The 18,278-nt window shown below is 43.2% G+C and overlaps 2 annotated features.

Annotated features, from left to right (window-relative positions):
• Positions 1,608-2,109: an enhancer, noted in NCBI's record as "NANOG hESC enhancer chr10:78582741-78583242 (GRCh37/hg19 assembly coordinates)". NCBI's record gives its function as "activates a minimal SCP1, AML or CMV promoter by ChIP-STARR-seq in primed H9 embryonic stem cells {active_cell/tissue: H9 hESC(primed)}" and the evidence as "EXISTENCE:reporter gene assay evidence [ECO:0000049][PMID:30033119]".
• Positions 15,353-15,854: an enhancer, noted in NCBI's record as "OCT4 hESC enhancer chr10:78568996-78569497 (GRCh37/hg19 assembly coordinates)". NCBI's record gives its function as "activates a minimal SCP1, AML or CMV promoter by ChIP-STARR-seq in naive H9 embryonic stem cells {active_cell/tissue: H9 hESC(naive)}" and the evidence as "EXISTENCE:reporter gene assay evidence [ECO:0000049][PMID:30033119]".

Below are 18,278 nucleotides of genomic sequence, written 5' to 3'. Positions count from 1 at the left end.
CAAGGCAGGAAAGAGTTCAGCTTCTCAAAAGTAGAGTGAGGCTTAAGGGAGGATGGATAGAGTCCTTGTAGGGAAAAATTGGATAGGGCTAAGAAAGGGAAACAATGGGTAAGTACCTAGTGGTCATCCCAAAGAGAGTGGGGGCATATTCTGTCATGTGAGAAGTCCCCTAGAGCACAGGGGGAAGTTGTTAAGGATAGTGGTTCACAGCACCTGGATGAAGGAACAGAAGATTTCCCATGTGGATTTTGGAGCACTCGACATCGCTCAGGGACCATCAACAGCTGTTTACCCTAATTCTTCATCTCTACTCTTTAATTCTTCTTGGCTATAAGCAACTTTAGTTTCATAGAAGAGAGTTTCCCATAGTGACTTTACCTCTGTGCCTCCTGAGCCCCTTGGGACATCTGGATGTCCAGTCACAGGCTGGGATTCAAGAAGATAATTCTGAAGAATGAAATGGTAAGTAGCAGAGAAGTGAGAAAGAGCCAGTTATGGCCCCTGGATTTCAATGTTCTTGTTCATAAAGTGGAGTTCTTAACACTCTGATATTGTAAGTAAAGTTTTACGTATGTGTGCACATGAAATTTTTTCTTAAGGCAATTAGCAGATTTCATCATATTCTGAAAGACAGCTGAAAATTGTCCCTGTCTTGCTTTGCTCAGAGGACTCTCATGGGATGGTCTATGGTCCCTTGATAACCACTGAACATTCTCAGGAGCTTCCACAGTGCGTAGTAGAATAGGAGGCCAGAGAATATAGGATCAGTAACTCCATCTCACTTTAGTAACAGTAATTCTTTATTTATTTAGTTAGTCGGTTTTTGTTATTATTAGTATTATTTATTATACTTTAAGTACTGGAATACATGTGCAGAACTTGCAGGTTTGTTACATAGCTATACATGTGCCATGGTGGTTTGCTGCACCCATCACCCATCATCTAGGTTTTAGGTATTTATCTAATTAGGTATTTATCCTAATGCTCTCCCTCTCCTAGCCCCCAGCCCCTGACAGACCCTGCTGTGTGATGTTCCCCTCCCTGTGTCCATGTTTTCTCATTGTTCAATTCTCACTTATGAGTGAGAACATGTGGTGTTTGCTTTTCTGTTCCTGTGTTAGTTTGTGGAGAATAATGGTTTCCAGCTTCATCCATGTCCCTGGAAAGGACATGAACTCATCCTTTTTTATGGCTGCATAGTATTCCATAGTGTATATGTGCCACGTTTTCTTTGTCCATTCTAACATTGATGGGCATTTGGGTTGGTCCCAAGTCTTTGCTATTGTGAATAGTGTCACAGTAAACATACATGTGCATTTGTCTTTATACTAGAATGATTTATAATGCTTTGGGTATTTCATACGTGTCTGTGTGAAGAGACCACCAAACAGGCTTCGTGTGAGCAACATGGCTGTTTATTTCACCTGGGTGCAGGCAGACTGAGTCCGAAAAGAGAGTCAGCGAAGGGAGATAGGGGTGGGGCCATTTTATAGGATTTGGGAAGGTAATGGAAAATTACAGTCAAAGGGGGTTGTTCTCTGGTGGGCAGGGGTGGATCTCACAAAGTACATTCTCAAGGGTGGGGAGAATTACAAAGAACCTTCTTAAGGGTGGGGGAGATTACAAAGTACATTGATTAGTTAGGGTGAGGCAGGAACAAATCACAATGATGGAATGTCATCAGTTAAGGCTATTTTTACTTCTTTTGTGGATCTTCAGTTACTTCAGGCCATCTGGGCATATACGTGCAAGTCCCAGGGGATGCGATGGCTTGGCTTGGGCTCAGAGGCCTGACATTCCTGCCTTCTTATATTAATAAGAAAAATAAAGCAAAATAGTATTGAAGTGTTGGGGCGGCAAAAATTTTTTGGGGGGTGGTATGGAGCGAGAATGGGCGATGTTTCTCAGGGCTGCTTCAAGCGGGATTAGGGGCGGCGTGGGAACCTAGAGTGGGAGAGATTAAGCTGAAGGGAGGTCTTGTGGTAAGGGGTGATATTGTGGGGATGTTAGAAGAAACATTTGTCGTATAGAATGATTGGTGATGGCCTGGATACGGTTTTGTATGAACTGAAAAACTAAATGGAATAACAGAAGGAGAAAAACAGGTATAAAAGGTCTAAGAATTGGGACGACTCAGGATGTCTGATTAGAGAGTGCTTAAGGAGATTTGGCATAGTCCTGCCAGCAAAGATTATTTATTTACTTCAAGAGTTAAGAGTGGCAGTTTGGGGATAGCACCAGGAGATATCAGCTGTGATGGCTTGGAAAAACAGTGTAAACAGGCAGTGTAAACAAGAGCAGGGCATGTATGAGTAGTTGAGAACGGTGAATAGGAGTATGACTAGACAGAAAATAGTAGGGATGACAAGTTTTTTCTTTTTTTTTTTTTTTTTTTTTTTTTTGGGGCACAGTCTAAGTTGGTCTGGTGTCTGGAATGAGACTGGGGCCTAATAAAAAGGAGCGTCTATACAGGACCTTCAATGGGCTGTACCCTGCAGCATTCCGAGGACAGGCCTGAATTCTGAGAAGGGAAAGCGGTAAAAGTATTGTCCAGTCCTTTTTAAGTTGGTGGCTGAGCTTGGTGAGGTGTGTTTTTAAAAGACCTTTAGTCCATTCTACTTTTCTTGAAGATGGAGGACCATAAGGGATATAAAGGTTTCACTGAATACTAAGAGCCTGAAAAACTGCTTGGCTGATTTGACTAATAAAGGCTCGTCTGTTATCAGACTGTATTGAGGTGGGAAGGCTAAACTGAGGAATTATGTCTGACAGAACGGAAGAAATGACTGCGGTGGCCTTCTCAGACCCTGTAGGAAAGGCCTCTACTTATTTTGAGGGCCTCTAAAAGTATTAAAGCAGCGGCAGCCACTGCACGCAGACATGAGGGCTAGGCTAGAACAGTAAGGTCAAGTTGTTTGGACAGAAAGGCTACAGGGTGTGGTCCTGGCTCTTGTGTAAAAATTCTGACCGCCTAGGAATGCCTAGGAAGGAAAGGAGTTGTTTTGTAGAAGGTGCTTGGGTTTGAGAGATCAGTTGGACACGATTGGCAGGGAGAGCACGTGTGTTTTTATGAGCATTATGCCAAGATAGGTAACAGATGAGGAAGAAATTTGGGCTTGATTGAAGTAATGGGGGCTGTCTGTGAAGCTTTGAGGCAGTACAGCCTAGGTAATTTGCTGAGCTTGATGGGTGTCAGGGTCAGTCCAAGTGAAAATGAAGAGAGGCTGGGATTAAGGTTGCAAAGGAATAGTAAAGAAAGCATGTTTGAGATCTAGAACAGAATAATGGGTTGTAGAGGCAGGTATTGAGGATAGGAGAGTATATGGGTTTGGCACCACAGGGTGTATAGGCAAAACAATTTGGTTGATAAGGAGCAGATCCTGAACTAACTTGTAAGTCTTGTCTGGTTTTAGGACAGGTAAAATGGGGGAATTGTAAGGAGAGTTTATAGGCTTTAAAAGGCCATGCTGTAGCAGGTGAGTGATAACAGGCTTTAATCTTTTTAAATCGTGCTGCGGGATGGGATATTGGCGTTGAGTGGGGTAAGGGTGATTAGGTTTTAATGAGATGGTAAGGAGTGCATGATCAGTCGCCAAGGAGGGAGTAGAGGTATCTTTCTTATACTTGTGGGTTAAGGTGGGGGGATGGATACAAGAGGACACAAAGGAGGCTTTGGATTGGGAAGAAGGGCGGCAATGAGATATAGCTGTAGTCCAGTAATAGTCAGGGAAACAGATAATTTAGTTAAAGTGTCTCAGCCTAATAAGGGAACTGGGCAGGTGGGGATAACTAAAAAGGAGTGCTTAAAAGAGTATTGTCTAAGTTGGCACCAGAGTTGGGGAGTTTTAAGAGGTTTAGAAGCCTGGCCGTCAATACCCACAACAGTTATGGAGGCAAGGGAAACAGGCCCTTGAAAAGCAGGTAATGTGGAGTGGGTAGCCTCCGTATTGATTAAGACGGGGAGGGGCTTCCTTCCACTGTGAGAGTTACCCGAACCTTGGTGTCCGTGATGGTCTAGGGGGCTTCCGAGGCGATCGGGCAGTGTCAGTCTTCAGCCGCTAAGCCGAGAAGATCTGGGACGGAGTCAGTCAGAGAGCCTTGCGCCAGAGTTCCAGGGGCTCCAGGAGTGGCTGCCAGGTGAGTTGAACAGTCCGATTTTCAGTGGGGTCCCACAGAGATGGGACACGGCTTAGGAGGAATCCCAGGCTGCGGGCATTCCTTGGCCCAGTGGCCAGATTTCTGGCATGTGTAGCAAGCTCCTGTGGGAGGAGGTTCTGGAGGAACGCCTGGCCGCTGCAGTTCAGGCGTTTGGAAGTTCTTGTGTGCTGGAGATGTGGCTGGGGTTTGTCTCACAGTAGAGGCAAGGAACTGCAACTTTTTTCTATTATTGTACACCTTGAAGGCGAGGTTAATTAAATGCTGTTGTGGGGTTTGAGGGCCGGAATTTAATTTTTGGAGTTTTACTTAATGTCGGGAGCAGATTGGGTAATAAAATGTATATTGAGGATAAGATGGCCTTTTGACCTTTTAGGGTCTAGGGCTGTAAAGCGTCTCAGGGTTGCTGACGAACGAGCCATGAACTGGGCTGGGTTTTTATATTTGATGAAAAAGAGCCTAAATGCTATCTGATTTGGGATAAAGTAAAAGGAGCATTAACTTTGACTATGCCTTTGGCTCCAGCCACCTTTTTAAGAGTAAATTGCTGGGCAGGTGGGGGAGGGCTAGTCACAGAACAAAACTGTAAGCCAGACCACGTGTGAGGAGGGGAGGCGATAAAAAGATTACAGGGTGGAGGAGCAGAGGCTGAGGAAGAATTGGGACCTAGCTTGGCCTGGTGAGGAGGGGAGAGGTCAGATGGGTCTGTAGAAAAGGAAGATTAGAAAGACTCAGCGAAGCTTGGGGTTGGGACTGAGGGTACAGGTGGGAGGGAAAGAAGGAAGATTTGGGACGAGTTGCACTGGGCACAGAGACTAGGAAGGGACTGATGTGTAAAAGAATGCCTGGACTTCAGGCACCTCAGACCATTTGCCCATTTTACGACAAGAATTATTTAGATCTTGTAGGATGGAAAAATTGAAAGTGCCGTTTTCCGGCTATTTGGAACTACTGTCGAGCTTGTACTGGAGTCCAGCGGCATTGCAGAAGAAAATAAGGCATTTAGGTTTTAGGTCAGGTGTGAGTTGAAGAGGTTTTAAGTTTTTGAGAACACAGGCTAAGGGAGAAGAAGGAGGAATGGAAGGTGGAAGCTTACCCATAGTGAAGGAGGCAAGCCCAGAAAAAAGAGTAGAGACACGGAGAAGGGGTGGGGGGTTCTTGCCCTCCAGAAAAGCAGAGAAGGGGTTGAGGCATGGAAATAAGGGATTGGGGCACAGAGATAAGAGGTCAGGGTGCGGAAATAAGGGATTGGGGTGCAGAGATAAGAGGTTGGGGTGCGGAAATAAGTGATTGGGGGTTTCTTGCCCCCTAGGAAAGCGGGACTTGCTGCTAAGGGTGAAGGAGAAGGGGTTGAGGGGTACTTGCCCCTGCCCCAGGAAAGCGGGACTTGCCGCTGAGGGTGAAGGAGAAGGGGTTGAGGGGTACTTGCCCCTGCCCCAGGAAAGCGGGACTTGCCGCTGAGGGTGAAGGAGAAGGGGTTGAGGGGTACTTGCCCCTGCCCCAGGAAAGCGGGACTTGCCGCTGAGGGTGAAGGAGAAGGGGTTGAGGGGTACTTGCCCCGGCCCCAGGAAAGCGGGACTTGCCGCTGAGGGTGAAGGAGAAGGGGTTGAGGGGTACTTGCCCCTGCCCCAGGAAAGCGGGACTTGCCGCTGAGGGTGAAGGAGAAGGGGTTGAGGGGTACTTGCCCCGGCCCCAGGAAAGCGGGACTTGCCGCTGAGGGTGAAGGAGAAGGGGTTGAGGGGTACTTGCCCCGGCCCCAGGAAAGCGGGACTTGCCGCTAAGGGCGAAGGACCAAGGCAGGCATCCCTGCGTGGTCTGACACCCTTGAAACGTGAGTGTATAATCAGAGGGCGTCCCTGCAATGATTAAACACCAAGGGAAGGCTGCCTCCCCAGTCCGTGACCGGTGCCGGAGTTTTGGGTTCATGGATAAAACATGTCTCTTTTGTCTCTACCAGAAAATGAAAGGAATTGAAATTAAGAGAAGGGAGAGATTGAAGTGTGGCGCCAAGATTGAAAGGAGAAAGAGGTTGAGGGATAGTGAGGGAGTTTGGAGACGAGAGTAAAAAGAGGCCGCTTACCGGATTTGAAATTGGTGAGATGTTTCTTGGGCTGGTCAGTCTAAGGACCTGAGGTCGTAGGTGGATCTTTCTCACCAAGCAAAGAGCAGGAGGACAGGGGATTGATCTCCCAAGGGAGGTCCCCTGATCCGAGTCACGGCACCAAATTTCACTAAGCTAAAAGTCAAGCTGGCAGCTGCTTAGTTCCGGCACCAAATTTCATGCGCGTCGTGTGAAGAGACCACCAAACAGGCTTTGTGTGAGCAACATGGCTGTTTATTTCACCTGGGTGCAGGCGGGCTGAGTCCGAAAAGAGAGTCAGCGAAGGGAGATAGTGGTGGGGCCATTTTATAGGATGTGGGAAGGTAATGGAAAATTACAGTCAAAGGGGGTTGTTCTCTGGTGGGCAGGGGTGGATCTCACAAAGTACACTTTCAAGGGTGGGGAGAATTACAAAGAACCTTCTTAAGGGTGGGGGAGATTACAAAGTACATTGATTAGTTAGGGTGGGGCAGGAACAAATCACAATGATGGAATGTCATCAGTTAAGGCTATTTTTACTTCTTTTGTGGATCTTCAGTTACTTCAGGCCATGTGGGCATATACCTGCAAGTCCCAGGGGATGCGATGACTTGGCTTGGGCTCAGAGGCCTGACAGGGTATATATATACCCAGTAATGGGATTGCTGGGTCAAATGGTATTTCTGGTTCTAGATCCAAGAAAAAACAACCCCATTAAAAAGTGAGCAAAGGATATGAACAGACACTTCTCAAAAGAAGACATTTATGTGGCCAACAAACATGAAAAAATCTCATCATCACTGGTCATTAGAGAACTGCAGATTGAAAAACCACAAGGAGATACTATCTCATGCCAGTTAGAATGGTGATCATTATAAAGTCTGGAAACAACAGATGCTGGAGAGGATGTGGAGAAATAGGAACACTATTTATTTTTATATTCAAAGGAGTTTTTACTCTTTTAAAAAGTTAGAAAACAATCAGGAAAAAATAAAGAGGAGAGTTACCTGGCCGATATAGCTCCTTTTAGCTCTTGTATCTGCCTCCACCCTAGCAGCCAGGCATCTTGTAGGAGGCCACCCATTGTCTACTTGGTGTCAGTGGCCTCAGCCCCTGACTGCAACCACATGACATAATTCATATTTTCTGGATTTTCCAACTATGAATCCATTTCTCATTTTCTTATTTTCATTCTTGCTATGCCCATATAATTTTATGAATTTCTGAAAACTACCTTGGCTCTTTTTTTGTCTAATTATATAATTTTCTTTATTTTATTTTATTTTATTTTATATTATTATACTCTAAGTTTTAGGGTACATGTGCACAATGTGCAGGTTAGTTACATATGTATACATGTGCCATGTTGTCGTGCTGCACCCATTAACTCGTCATTTAGCATTACGTATATCTCCTAATGCTATCCCTCCCCACTACCCCCACCCCACAATAGTACCTAGAGTATGATGTTCCCCTTCCTGTGTCCATGTGTTCTCATTGTTCAGTTCCCACCTATGAGTGAGAACATGTGGTGTTTGGTTTTTTGTCCTTGCGATAGTTTGCTGAGACTGACGGTTTCCAGCTTCATCCATGTCCCTACAAAGGACATGAACTCATCATTTTTTATGGCTGCATAGTATTCCATGGTGTATATGTGCCACATTTTCTTAATCCAGTCTATCATTGTCGATTGTTGGATATTTGGGTTGGTTCCAAGTCTTTGCTCTTGTGAATAGTGCCTTAATAAACATACGTGTGCATGTGTCTTTAAAGCAGCATGATTTATAATCCTTTGGGTATATACCCAGTAATGGGATGGCTGGGTGAAATGGTATTTCTAGTTCTAGATCCCTGAGGAATCGCCACACTGACTTCCGCACTGGTTAAACTAGTTTACAGTCCCGCCAACAATGTAAAAGTCTTCCTATTTCTCCACATCCTCTCCAGCACCTGTAGTTTCCTGACTTTTTAATGATCGCCATTCTAACTGGTGTGAGATGGTATCTCATTGTGGTTTTGATTTGCATTTCTCTGATGGCCAGTAATGATTAGCATTTTTTCCTGTGTTTTTTGGCTGCATAAATGTCTTCTTTTGAGAAGTGTCTGTTCATATCCTTTGCCCACTTTTTGATGGGGTTGTTTGTTTTTTTCCTGTAAATTTGTTGGAGTTCATTGTAGATTCTGGATATTAGCCCTTTGTCAGATGAGTAGGTTGCAAAATTTTTCTCCCATTCTGTAGGTTGCCTGTTCACTCTAATGGTAGTTTCTTTTGCTGTGCAGAAGCTCTTTAGTTTAATGAGATCCCATTTGTCAATTTTGGCTTTTGTTGCCATTGCTTTTGGTGTTTTAGACATGAAGTCCTTGCCCATGCCTATGTCCTGAATGGTATTGCCTAGGTTTTCTTCTAGGGTTTTTATGGTTTTAGGTCTAACATTTAAGTCTTTAATCCATCTTGAATTAATTTTTGTATAAGGTGTAAGGAAGGGATCTAGTTTCAGCTTTCTATATATGGCTAGCCAGTTCTCCCAGCACCATTTATTAAATAGGGAATCCTTTCCCCATTGCTTGTTTTTGTCAGGTTTGTCAAAGATCAGATAGTTTTAGATATGCGGCATTATTTCTGAGGGCTCTGTTCTGTTCCTTTGGTCTATATCTCTGTTTTGGCCCCAGTACCATGCTGTTTTCGTTATTGTAGCCTGTAGTATAGGTTGAAGTCACAAGATGGCTGAATAGGAACAGCTCCAGTCTACAGCTCCCAGCGTGAGCTTTGCAGAAGATGGGTGATTTCTGCATTTCCAACTGAGGTACTGGGTTCATCTCACTGGGGAGTGCCGGACAGTGGGTGCAGGACAGTGGGTGCAGCGCACTGTGCATGAGCCGAAGCAGGGCGAGGCATCACCTAACCCAGGAAGCACAAGGGGTCAGGGAATTCCCTTTCCTAGTCAAAGAAAGGGGTGACAGATGGCACCTGGAAAACCGGGTCACTCCCACCCTAATACTGCACTTTTCCAATGGGCTTAACAAACGGCACACCAGGAGATTGTATCCCACACCTGGCTCGGAAGGTCCTACGCCCACGGAGCCTCGCTCATTGCTAGCACAGCAGTCTGAGATCAAACTGCAAGGCGGCAGCAAGGCTGGGGGAAGGGCGCCCACCATTGCCCAGGCTTGAGTAGGTAAACAAAGTGGCCAGGAAGCTCAAACTGGGTGGAGCCCACCACAGATCAAGGAGGCCTGCCTGCCTCGGTAAGCTCCACCTCTGGGGGCAGGGCACAGAAAAACAAAAGACAGCAATAACCTCTGCAGACTTAAATGTCCCTGTCTGACAGCTTTGAAGAGAGTTGTGGTTCTCCCAGCACGCAGCTTGAGATCTGAGAATGGGCAGACTGCCTCCTCAAGTGGGTCCCTGACCCCCGAGTAGCCTAACTGGGAGGCACCCCCCAGTAGGGGCAGACTGACACCTCACACGGCCGGGTACTCCTCTGACACAAAACTTCCAGAGGAATGATCAGGCAGCAGCATTTGCGGTTCACCAATATCCACTGTTCTGCACCACTGCTGTTGATACCCAGGCAAACAGGGTCTGGAGTGGACCTCCAGCAAACTCCAACAGACCTGCAGCTGAGGGTCCTGACTGTTAGAAGGAAAACTAACAAACAGAAAGGACATCCACACCAAAAACCCATCTGTACGTCACCATCATCAAAGACCAAAGGTAGATAAAACCACAAAGATGAGGAAAAAACAGCAGAAAAACCGGAAACTCTAAAAATCAGAGCGCCTCTCCTCCTCCAAAGGAACACAGCTCCTCACCAGCAACGGAACAAAACTGGACGGAGAATGACTTTGACGAGTTGAGAGAAGAAGGCTTCAGAAGATCAAACTACTCTGAGCTAAAGGAGGAAGTTCAAACCAATGGCAAAGAAGTTAAAACTTTGACAAAAATTAGACGAATGGCTAACTAGAATAACCAATGCAGAGAAGTCCTTAAAGGACCTGATGGAGCTGAAAACCATCAAGGAGGCCTGCCTGCCTCCGTAAGCTCCACCTCTGGGGGCAGGGCACAGAAAAACAAAAGACAGCAATAACCTCTGCAGACTTAAATGTCCCTGTCTGACAGCTTTGAAGAGAGTTGTGGTTCTCCCAGCACGCAGCTTGAGATCTGAGATCTGAGATCTGAGAATTCGTCACGAGAACTATGTGACGAATGCCCAAGCCTCAGTAACCGATGCAATCAACTGGAAGAAAGTATCAGCGATGGAAGATGAAATGAATGAAATGAAGTGTGAAGAGAAGTTTAGAGAAAAAAGAATAAAAAGAAATGAACAAAGCCTCCAAGAAATATGGGACTATGTGAAAAGACCAAATCTACGTCTGATTGGTGTACCTGAAAGTGACGGGGAGAATGGAACCAAGTTGGAAAACACTCTGCAGGATATTATCCAGGAGAACTTTCCCAATCTAGCAAGGCGGGCCAACATTCAAATTCAGGAAATACAGAGAACGCCACAAAGATACTCCTCGAGAAGGGCGACTCCAAGACACATAATTGTCAGATTCTCCAAAGCTGAAATGAAGGAAAAAATGTTAAGGGCAGCCAGAGAGAAAGGTCGGGTTACCCACAAAGGGAAGCCCATCAGACGAACAGCTGATCTCTCGGCAGAAACTCTACAAAACAGAAGAGAGTGGGGGCCAATATTAAACATTATTAAAGAAAATAATTTTCAACCCAGACTTTCATATCTAGCCAAACTAAACTTCATAATTGAAGGAGAAATAAAGTACTTTACAGACAAGCAAATGCTGAGAGATTTTATCACCACCAGGCCTGCCCTAAAAGAGCTCCTGAAGGAAGCACTAAACATGGAAAGGAAAAACTGGTACCAGCCACTACCTTGGCTCTTTTAAAAGATGATTCTGTTTCTCCACACTAGCTTTGGTGCCCCTTAGGCAACACTTTTCCAATTCAGTCCAGCCCCCGATCTCTCCAGCATGTAGGTGGAATGTCCACTGAGCTCACTTGGGGCCTGGATCTTATAGGGAAGATGTGGGTATCCACCATGCTTTAGAATATAGACCACTGCATAGATGCCTTCCAAGCGTTTCAAGCTCCAAACTCATTCATCATGTCTTCTGAAACCCAGAGGGCATTCAAATCAGTGTCCAGCCAAACACTAACCCCAATGGCAGCCCATCACAGTGCACAGCTAGCTGTAACTCTCAATCCCTCAAATTTGAATGATACAGAAGATGAATAAAACAGCATATTCACAACAATGGGAAAATAGTAAGAAAGACATACTATAGTATATCCATTCAATGTAATCATATATGTACAATCTAAATTGATACTTACAAAGAATATTTAATGATGTATGAAAATATGTATGATTAAATCTTATGTAAAAAAGTAAACTCAATTATACAATAGCTTCCTGAGAAGTAATGAATAAGAGGCAAATTTTTTCAGATGTTGCAAACCTTTATGATTGTCTTGGCTATCTCCAGTGATTACAAGATGGCTGCTGCTGTTCTAGCCATTAGGTGCGCATTCCAGCAGGAACAAAGAGGGAAAAATAAGGAGAAAAGAATATTACCTTAACGAGGAAAGCAAAACTTTCTCTGGAATTTCTCCAGAAATTCCACAGACAATTATGTTTATGTCCCATTGACCCACACTATGACACATGATCAGGCCTGGATGGAAAGTAGATAGGGATAAGGAGGTTGGGAACAGGGACTGGATCAGCCAGTCAACACTGAATACCCCTGGTGGTAACTGAAAAGTCACCCTGAGCTTAATTTAGTCACTCCCCTGCCAGACCACAAAATTATTCAAACAAGCCAATCACACCTTCCTAAGTGAACAAAGGGTCACCCCACCCCTGTGTCACTACAGAGCCTGCCTGCTACAACTCCTTTCAGTTCTGTCTGCTCCCAAGCAATTCTCATGTTTTTCTGCAGGGACTGTGGTGTTCTCCCACTCTGGGCTGTGAGTATATATGACTAAGAAACTGCTGTTTGTCTCAGCTGTATGGTGTCAGACATGTGTTCAGCCATCTCATATTATTTAGGGCAGATGGTGCCTCCTACAACAAGGAGGTGAATAGAAAGTGATCAGACTACTCTCCCATCTCCCTCTCTCCCTCCCTTCTTTTCTTCATTACTTCCTTGATTTCTTTCTTGCTTGCTTTCTTCCTTCCTTTTTTCTAATACTACATGCCAGGCACTTCTCTGGGCACTGGCATTACAACAGTGAACAAGACACACTCAAGCCCTGCCCTCAGGTAACTTACTACCTAGTCAGAAAGATATCTGCTTATATTGTATATTTTCTTCAAGTACTGGGGGCACATAAGAGGAGCAACAAATCTAGAGCAGTATGTGTGTATGTGTGTGTGTGTATACATACATCAGAAAAAATTGAGGTATGTGAGAGGGAAATAGCCAAGCAGAGGGGTTAGAATGGTGAGAGAGGGGATTTTAAAATTCAGGGTGGCTGAAGCTGAGAGTTTAAGGAGCTTGAGAACATTGTAGTGAAGTGCCTCTACAAAAGAATTGGCTGGGGGAGAAGGTGGAGAGAAATGTAGAGGCCAAATCTTGGAGAGCCTTCCCAGCAGAGAGAAGGCTTTCATGAAGGAGCATTGCAATGATGGAGAATATGGATCACATTTGCTTCTAGGAAAACCTCAAGGGCTGCAGGGTGGAGAATGACTGGGAGGGTACCACAGTGGAGAGGAAGGTAACTAGGGAGGCTGTGGCAGTAGTTGGGGCAGGAGAATATCATGCACTCAACCAGCAGAGTCGCAAAGCCGCAGGGAGAAATAAAGGGAGTGTCTAAGACGTCACTTTTTTTTTTTTAACCTAGTGGGAGAGTGACATAATGGGCTCTAAATGATTTTATACTCAAGGGTTTTTGTTTCTGCCATCCTCATAAAGGTCAGAGAAGTAAAATTTACCTGTTCGCTTATAGAAGAAGGGTCCAATTGTCAATCACACACCTAATTTTCTGCAATTTCATATCAGTTAGAATTTTCTGCATATGCACTAGAAAATGCAACTAACAGTGGCTACAAAAATAGACACTTTTTCATACAGAGTGAAAGGCAGTTGGGTCAAAGATATCAGAACAGATACTAATCTTGGAGTTTTCCTCTTTCTCACAAGATGGCTGCTGCAGCTCCATCCCTCATGCTTTCAAGGCTGTAGAAAGAGTAAGTGGGAAAGGCTGTGTCAGCATTATGTGCCCTTATTTCAGGAAAGAGAAATATTTTGCAAAAATCCTCTTCCTGAAGGCTTTTTCTTCTTCCTTGTGGACTCTGCTCACCCTTAGATGCCTAGGAAGCTGAGATAGCAAGTACTGGTTTTCTGAATTCTATAGAAGGAGACAGAAAGGGAGAAGGGGTTGGGAATGATAACAGTGTTTGCCACAAGTGCCTTACAAGCCTGGGTTATATTTGAGGGTGGAAGAGAAAGTCGTGGTGGCAAGCATGTAGCAGAGGTCAGCCACAGTTATGAATTTTATGAAAGGTTTGCTGGGAAACTACATTTAAGAGAATATATATAGTGACTGTGATTCCCTCGACAGCACAACTGAGTGATTTGCAATGTACTTGCATTTCATGGCCCTCGTTCCAAACACTGTCTCTTGCTTTCATGTCAGACACTTGAGTTGTTTCAAAGTCACCAGGCTGGCCCACTATTAAATTACACACACACACACACACACACACACACACACACACACTTTAGAAGCCCCTAGTGCATGGTAAGAAGTGTGCTTGCTCTTCCAATGGCTGCAGCATCAACATTATTGGTTTGCTTGGGCAAATATGCTTTTTGCAAGACTGAAACTGAAGCAAGATTAAAACTGCCCTCTGCCCCAGATCTTGCCAAAAATCTGGAGTCTAAATTCCATTAAAGCAGTTTTGCATCCATGGTATCATTTGATTCTCACGGGAATCTTTCAAAGCAGGCTTTGCTCATCCTTTTAGAAGAGAAAACTGATCCAAAGATATGAAACGATTTGCTTAAGATCACCTAGTAGAGTGAGGGGGTCAGAAACAATTCTTGAGTTCAAATCTCAGATCCTTCGAATGCTGGATAGCTCAAAAGACTGTGGGAGTAGCAGCAAAGCAAGGTAACTGGGAAAAGAAGTTCAGCATTGATAAGCTTAACTGTAACTGTAGTTTAGGAAAATCTGGAAAGAAGCTGTTCTGTAATGTGCTAACAATGCACCCCAAAACTTAATTGTATTAAACATCAACTGTTTTATTATGCTTATGGGTTCTGTGGTTCAGAAACTCATACACATCACAGTGGGGAGGATGGTTTGTCTGCTCCGTGATGTCTGGGGCTTCAGCTGGGAAGAGTTAAATGGCTGTGGGGCTACTGGCTGGGGGCTGGAATCATCTGAAGACTTTCACTCACATTTCTGACTCCTGGGCTTGGATGACTCCAAGTCTGGGCTCTGATGGGACCCTTGACTTAAGCAGCCATGCATGGCCTTTCCACATGGCTTGGGCTTTCTCACAACATGGCGACCTCAGGCTAATTGGACCTTTTACATGGCTGCCCACAGTTCTAAGAGAATGTATTCCAGCAAAGAAAGAAAAACTGAATGACCCTTTATGGTCTAGCCTTGGCAGTCACAGAGTGCCTCTTTTACCATACTCTGTTGGTTGAAGCAGTCTCAAATCCACCCAGATTCAAGAGGAGTGGATTCCTCTCACTAGGAGGAGTATCAAACAATTTGCAGCCATGTTTTAAAACCAGTGCAGGGGCCAATCTATGTTGGTTACCTTTATCTTGAATGGACATTCAATATGAAAAATGTATTCTACTATCTTTCCAGAGAGTATCTGTAAATGCATTTATCTGGCCCTAATACTATCACTTACTAGGCATATAACCATAGGAATCATGCCTAGTTTCCCTGAGTCAAAATTTACATGTCTTCGAAATGGGGATAATACTAATATCTCACAGAAGCAATGAGCTTCTGTAAGAAGGAAATGAGGTGCAAAATGCCTAGCAAGGACCCTTTCGATATTTATTTAACACATACATCTTAACACTTACTATGTGCTAAATTGTTCTAAGCATTTCACAAAAATTGTCTCATTTAATCCTCATTTATCCTAATGACAAAGAAACTGCTATTATCTCTATTTTAGTGATGAAGAAACTGAAATGCAGAGAAGATAGTTAATTGTCCATGGTCACAAAGCACAGAAGTGACAGACCAGGACTTGAACTGAGCAATATGGTGCTAGAGTCCATACTCTGCTTTGTAGTTCACAGTGTAGATATAAGTGTATACTTGCATATATGGTTTCTTGAGCATGCACAAGTGGCAGCATGAGCCCAGGGTTTCGTTTTTTGCAAAGACTGTTCATCTAGACCAGAGGTCCACAAACTATGACTGTGGTCCAAATGTGGCCACTCCCATTTGTTATACATTATCCATGACTGCTTTCATGCTGCAATAGCAGAGTTAAATACTCATGACAGAGACCATATGGCCTGCAAAGCTGAAAATATTTATTATCTGGCTCTCTGCAGAAAAGGTGTGCCAATCCCTTTTCTAGACCTTACCCGCGACAGCCCTTTATCCTGTGTTTCTTGGAATTCAAACACGTTATATCTTTGTTCTGATTAATCCCTTCATTTAACATGTGCTTATTGTGTTCCTAATATGTGGCAGCCATAGTTCTAGATCCAAAAGCTACCTGGCAAATAAAAGACAAAAATCTTTGTCTTCACAGAGTGTATGTTTCTGGTTGAGGAAAATAAAAAATATATAAAGCAATAAGCAAAACCCAGAATGATTGTAGAGTGTAATGATTGCTGTGAATGAAATAAACAGGATAACTGAGGTTACAGAGGGGACTTCTTATAAATAGAAGCCATTTTAGTTGAAAACTCTATAACTGCTGCTAAAAGCGTTCTAATGATAAAGTATGTGGGAAGGAGAAATAAATCGTCATCTCTGAGAGAGAAATAGAAAGCTTCCTAGAAGGTGTAGGAGGATGGCTGCTTAGGGTGAGTGCCACGTGCGATGTGATACTGAGTTGTACATGAAGCTGGTCAGCCTGATTGCATTATTTTTCTTCTCTTCAATGTGAAGCAACGTGGATGCAGACATGGAGAAAACAGGGAGTTTAATGAAAGTTGAGATTTTAGAAGATAATAATGAATGGAAATAAGGTGAGAGGTGACATGAAAAATTTAGCCTGGAGACAGATTTTGTTTGGCTCATTCATTGTATTAAAACTATGCATTTGAACGCTTTTAGATGGAGCACAATCAATTTGGTTCATCCCATCTGGACAAGTTCTTGCTGTGTTTTCTCTTGCCAGTTTTACTCATTTATGTTGCCTGCCTGGCCCCGTAAGCTTGTGAGATTGCAAGCATTGAATTGTGGTAATAGATGATGGACTCTTACCTGCATGAGGAGGAAATGGAAAGACAGGGAGAAGTAAAGGCTTATAAGAGAGTGGTTGGATTAATTAATTGGACTGAAGTTTTGATGAGGCCAGGAAAAGTTCAAAAAAGTTTTTCTAGCTGTGTGATGCAGTCATTAGGAAAGTCTAAATGCAAATCACTCAAGGGCAAGCCTGGGCTAGAATGCAGGGAATCATTTTCCTGACAAAACAACTTCTCTTTTTTCTCTATATCTGTCTATATTTATACATATTCGAAAGCCACATCCTCAGAATAAATAGAACACACAAAATACCCAAATTTCAAAGTAACTATAATTTTAAAAAGATAAAATATCAAATTCCAGTGAGCAAACTTTCACACTCCCACATTTGAGGTCAGCTGGGACAGTTCAAAAAACCTCAAGAGAAGAATCAGCTCATTGTATAGGCAGTGGTTAGAAGTTAACGGGTACTATGAAAAACCGAGAAGTCAGATGGCAAAAGACTACCTAAGGAAACACTGGACTAGGGGTATTCAATAAAGTATAAGTGTAAAGGTAACCAACAAAACAATAACAGAAACCTTCCAAAATGGAAGAAATAAAAGGAGAAAAAGAAAGAAGAAAAAATTAAACATACACATCAAATGAAAAATAGCAAATAGAATGCAATTAAAAATTATTTTGCCACAGTTGGAACTAGACATATAGTCACACTGATAAATTAGAATCGATGTTATCCACTTAATAAAAGAAAAACATTTGAAATATACACAAAATAAGACTAAAAGATATGTTGTATATAATAGATATACTTAAAATGATTTGAAATGTTTGGAAAAAAGGTATGGGTGGATAAGGGTATACTAAGAAACTAAGGTAATTGGAATTAAAAATAAAGTAAGTAAAAGGAACATATTCTTATAGTAGACAGAAGAGAATTCAAACCAAAAAATCACATTAAATGCAGAAAATGTTTAAAGGCTAAAAGCCACAATTCACAATAAAGATATATTATAGAGATCTATGCACCAAATAATGTAGCAATCACCTTTAATAAGCAAAACCCATAGGAGATTCAAGAATACACTTTAACAATAGAGAATTTTAACACAACAGTCTCAGTACAAGAACTATCAAGCGGACAAAAATGCATAAGAATATAGAAGACCTAAAAATACATAAGAAAAATGTAGATCTTATGAATATATATTGATTTTTATATATTATTATAAGTTGAATTATGTCTCCCAAAATGATAAACTGAAGTCCTAACCCCTTGCACCTTAGAATGTGACCTTATTTGTAAATAGGATTGTTGCAGACGTAATTAGTTCAGATGAAGTTACACTGGAGTAGAGTGAAACCTTAATCAATTGTGACTGGTGTCTTTATAAGAAAAAGAGAAGAGACAGAGACACACAGGATAAGACAGTCATGTGATGATGAAGGCAGAGATTGGGGTGATGTACCTACCAGCCCAGGACTGCCATGGATTGTCAGCAAACACCAGAGCTAGAAGACACAAGGAAGGAGTCCCCACTACAGGCCTCAGAGAGAGCATGACCATGACTTGATCTCTGACTTCTCCTCTCTGGGACTGTGAAACGATACATT

This window comes from Homo sapiens, chromosome 10 (genome assembly GCF_000001405.40).
Source record: "Homo sapiens chromosome 10, GRCh38.p14 Primary Assembly".
In the NCBI taxonomy this organism is placed as follows: Eukaryota; Metazoa; Chordata; class Mammalia; order Primates; family Hominidae; genus Homo; species Homo sapiens.
This window is presented reverse-complemented; position numbering and strand designations above follow the sequence as displayed.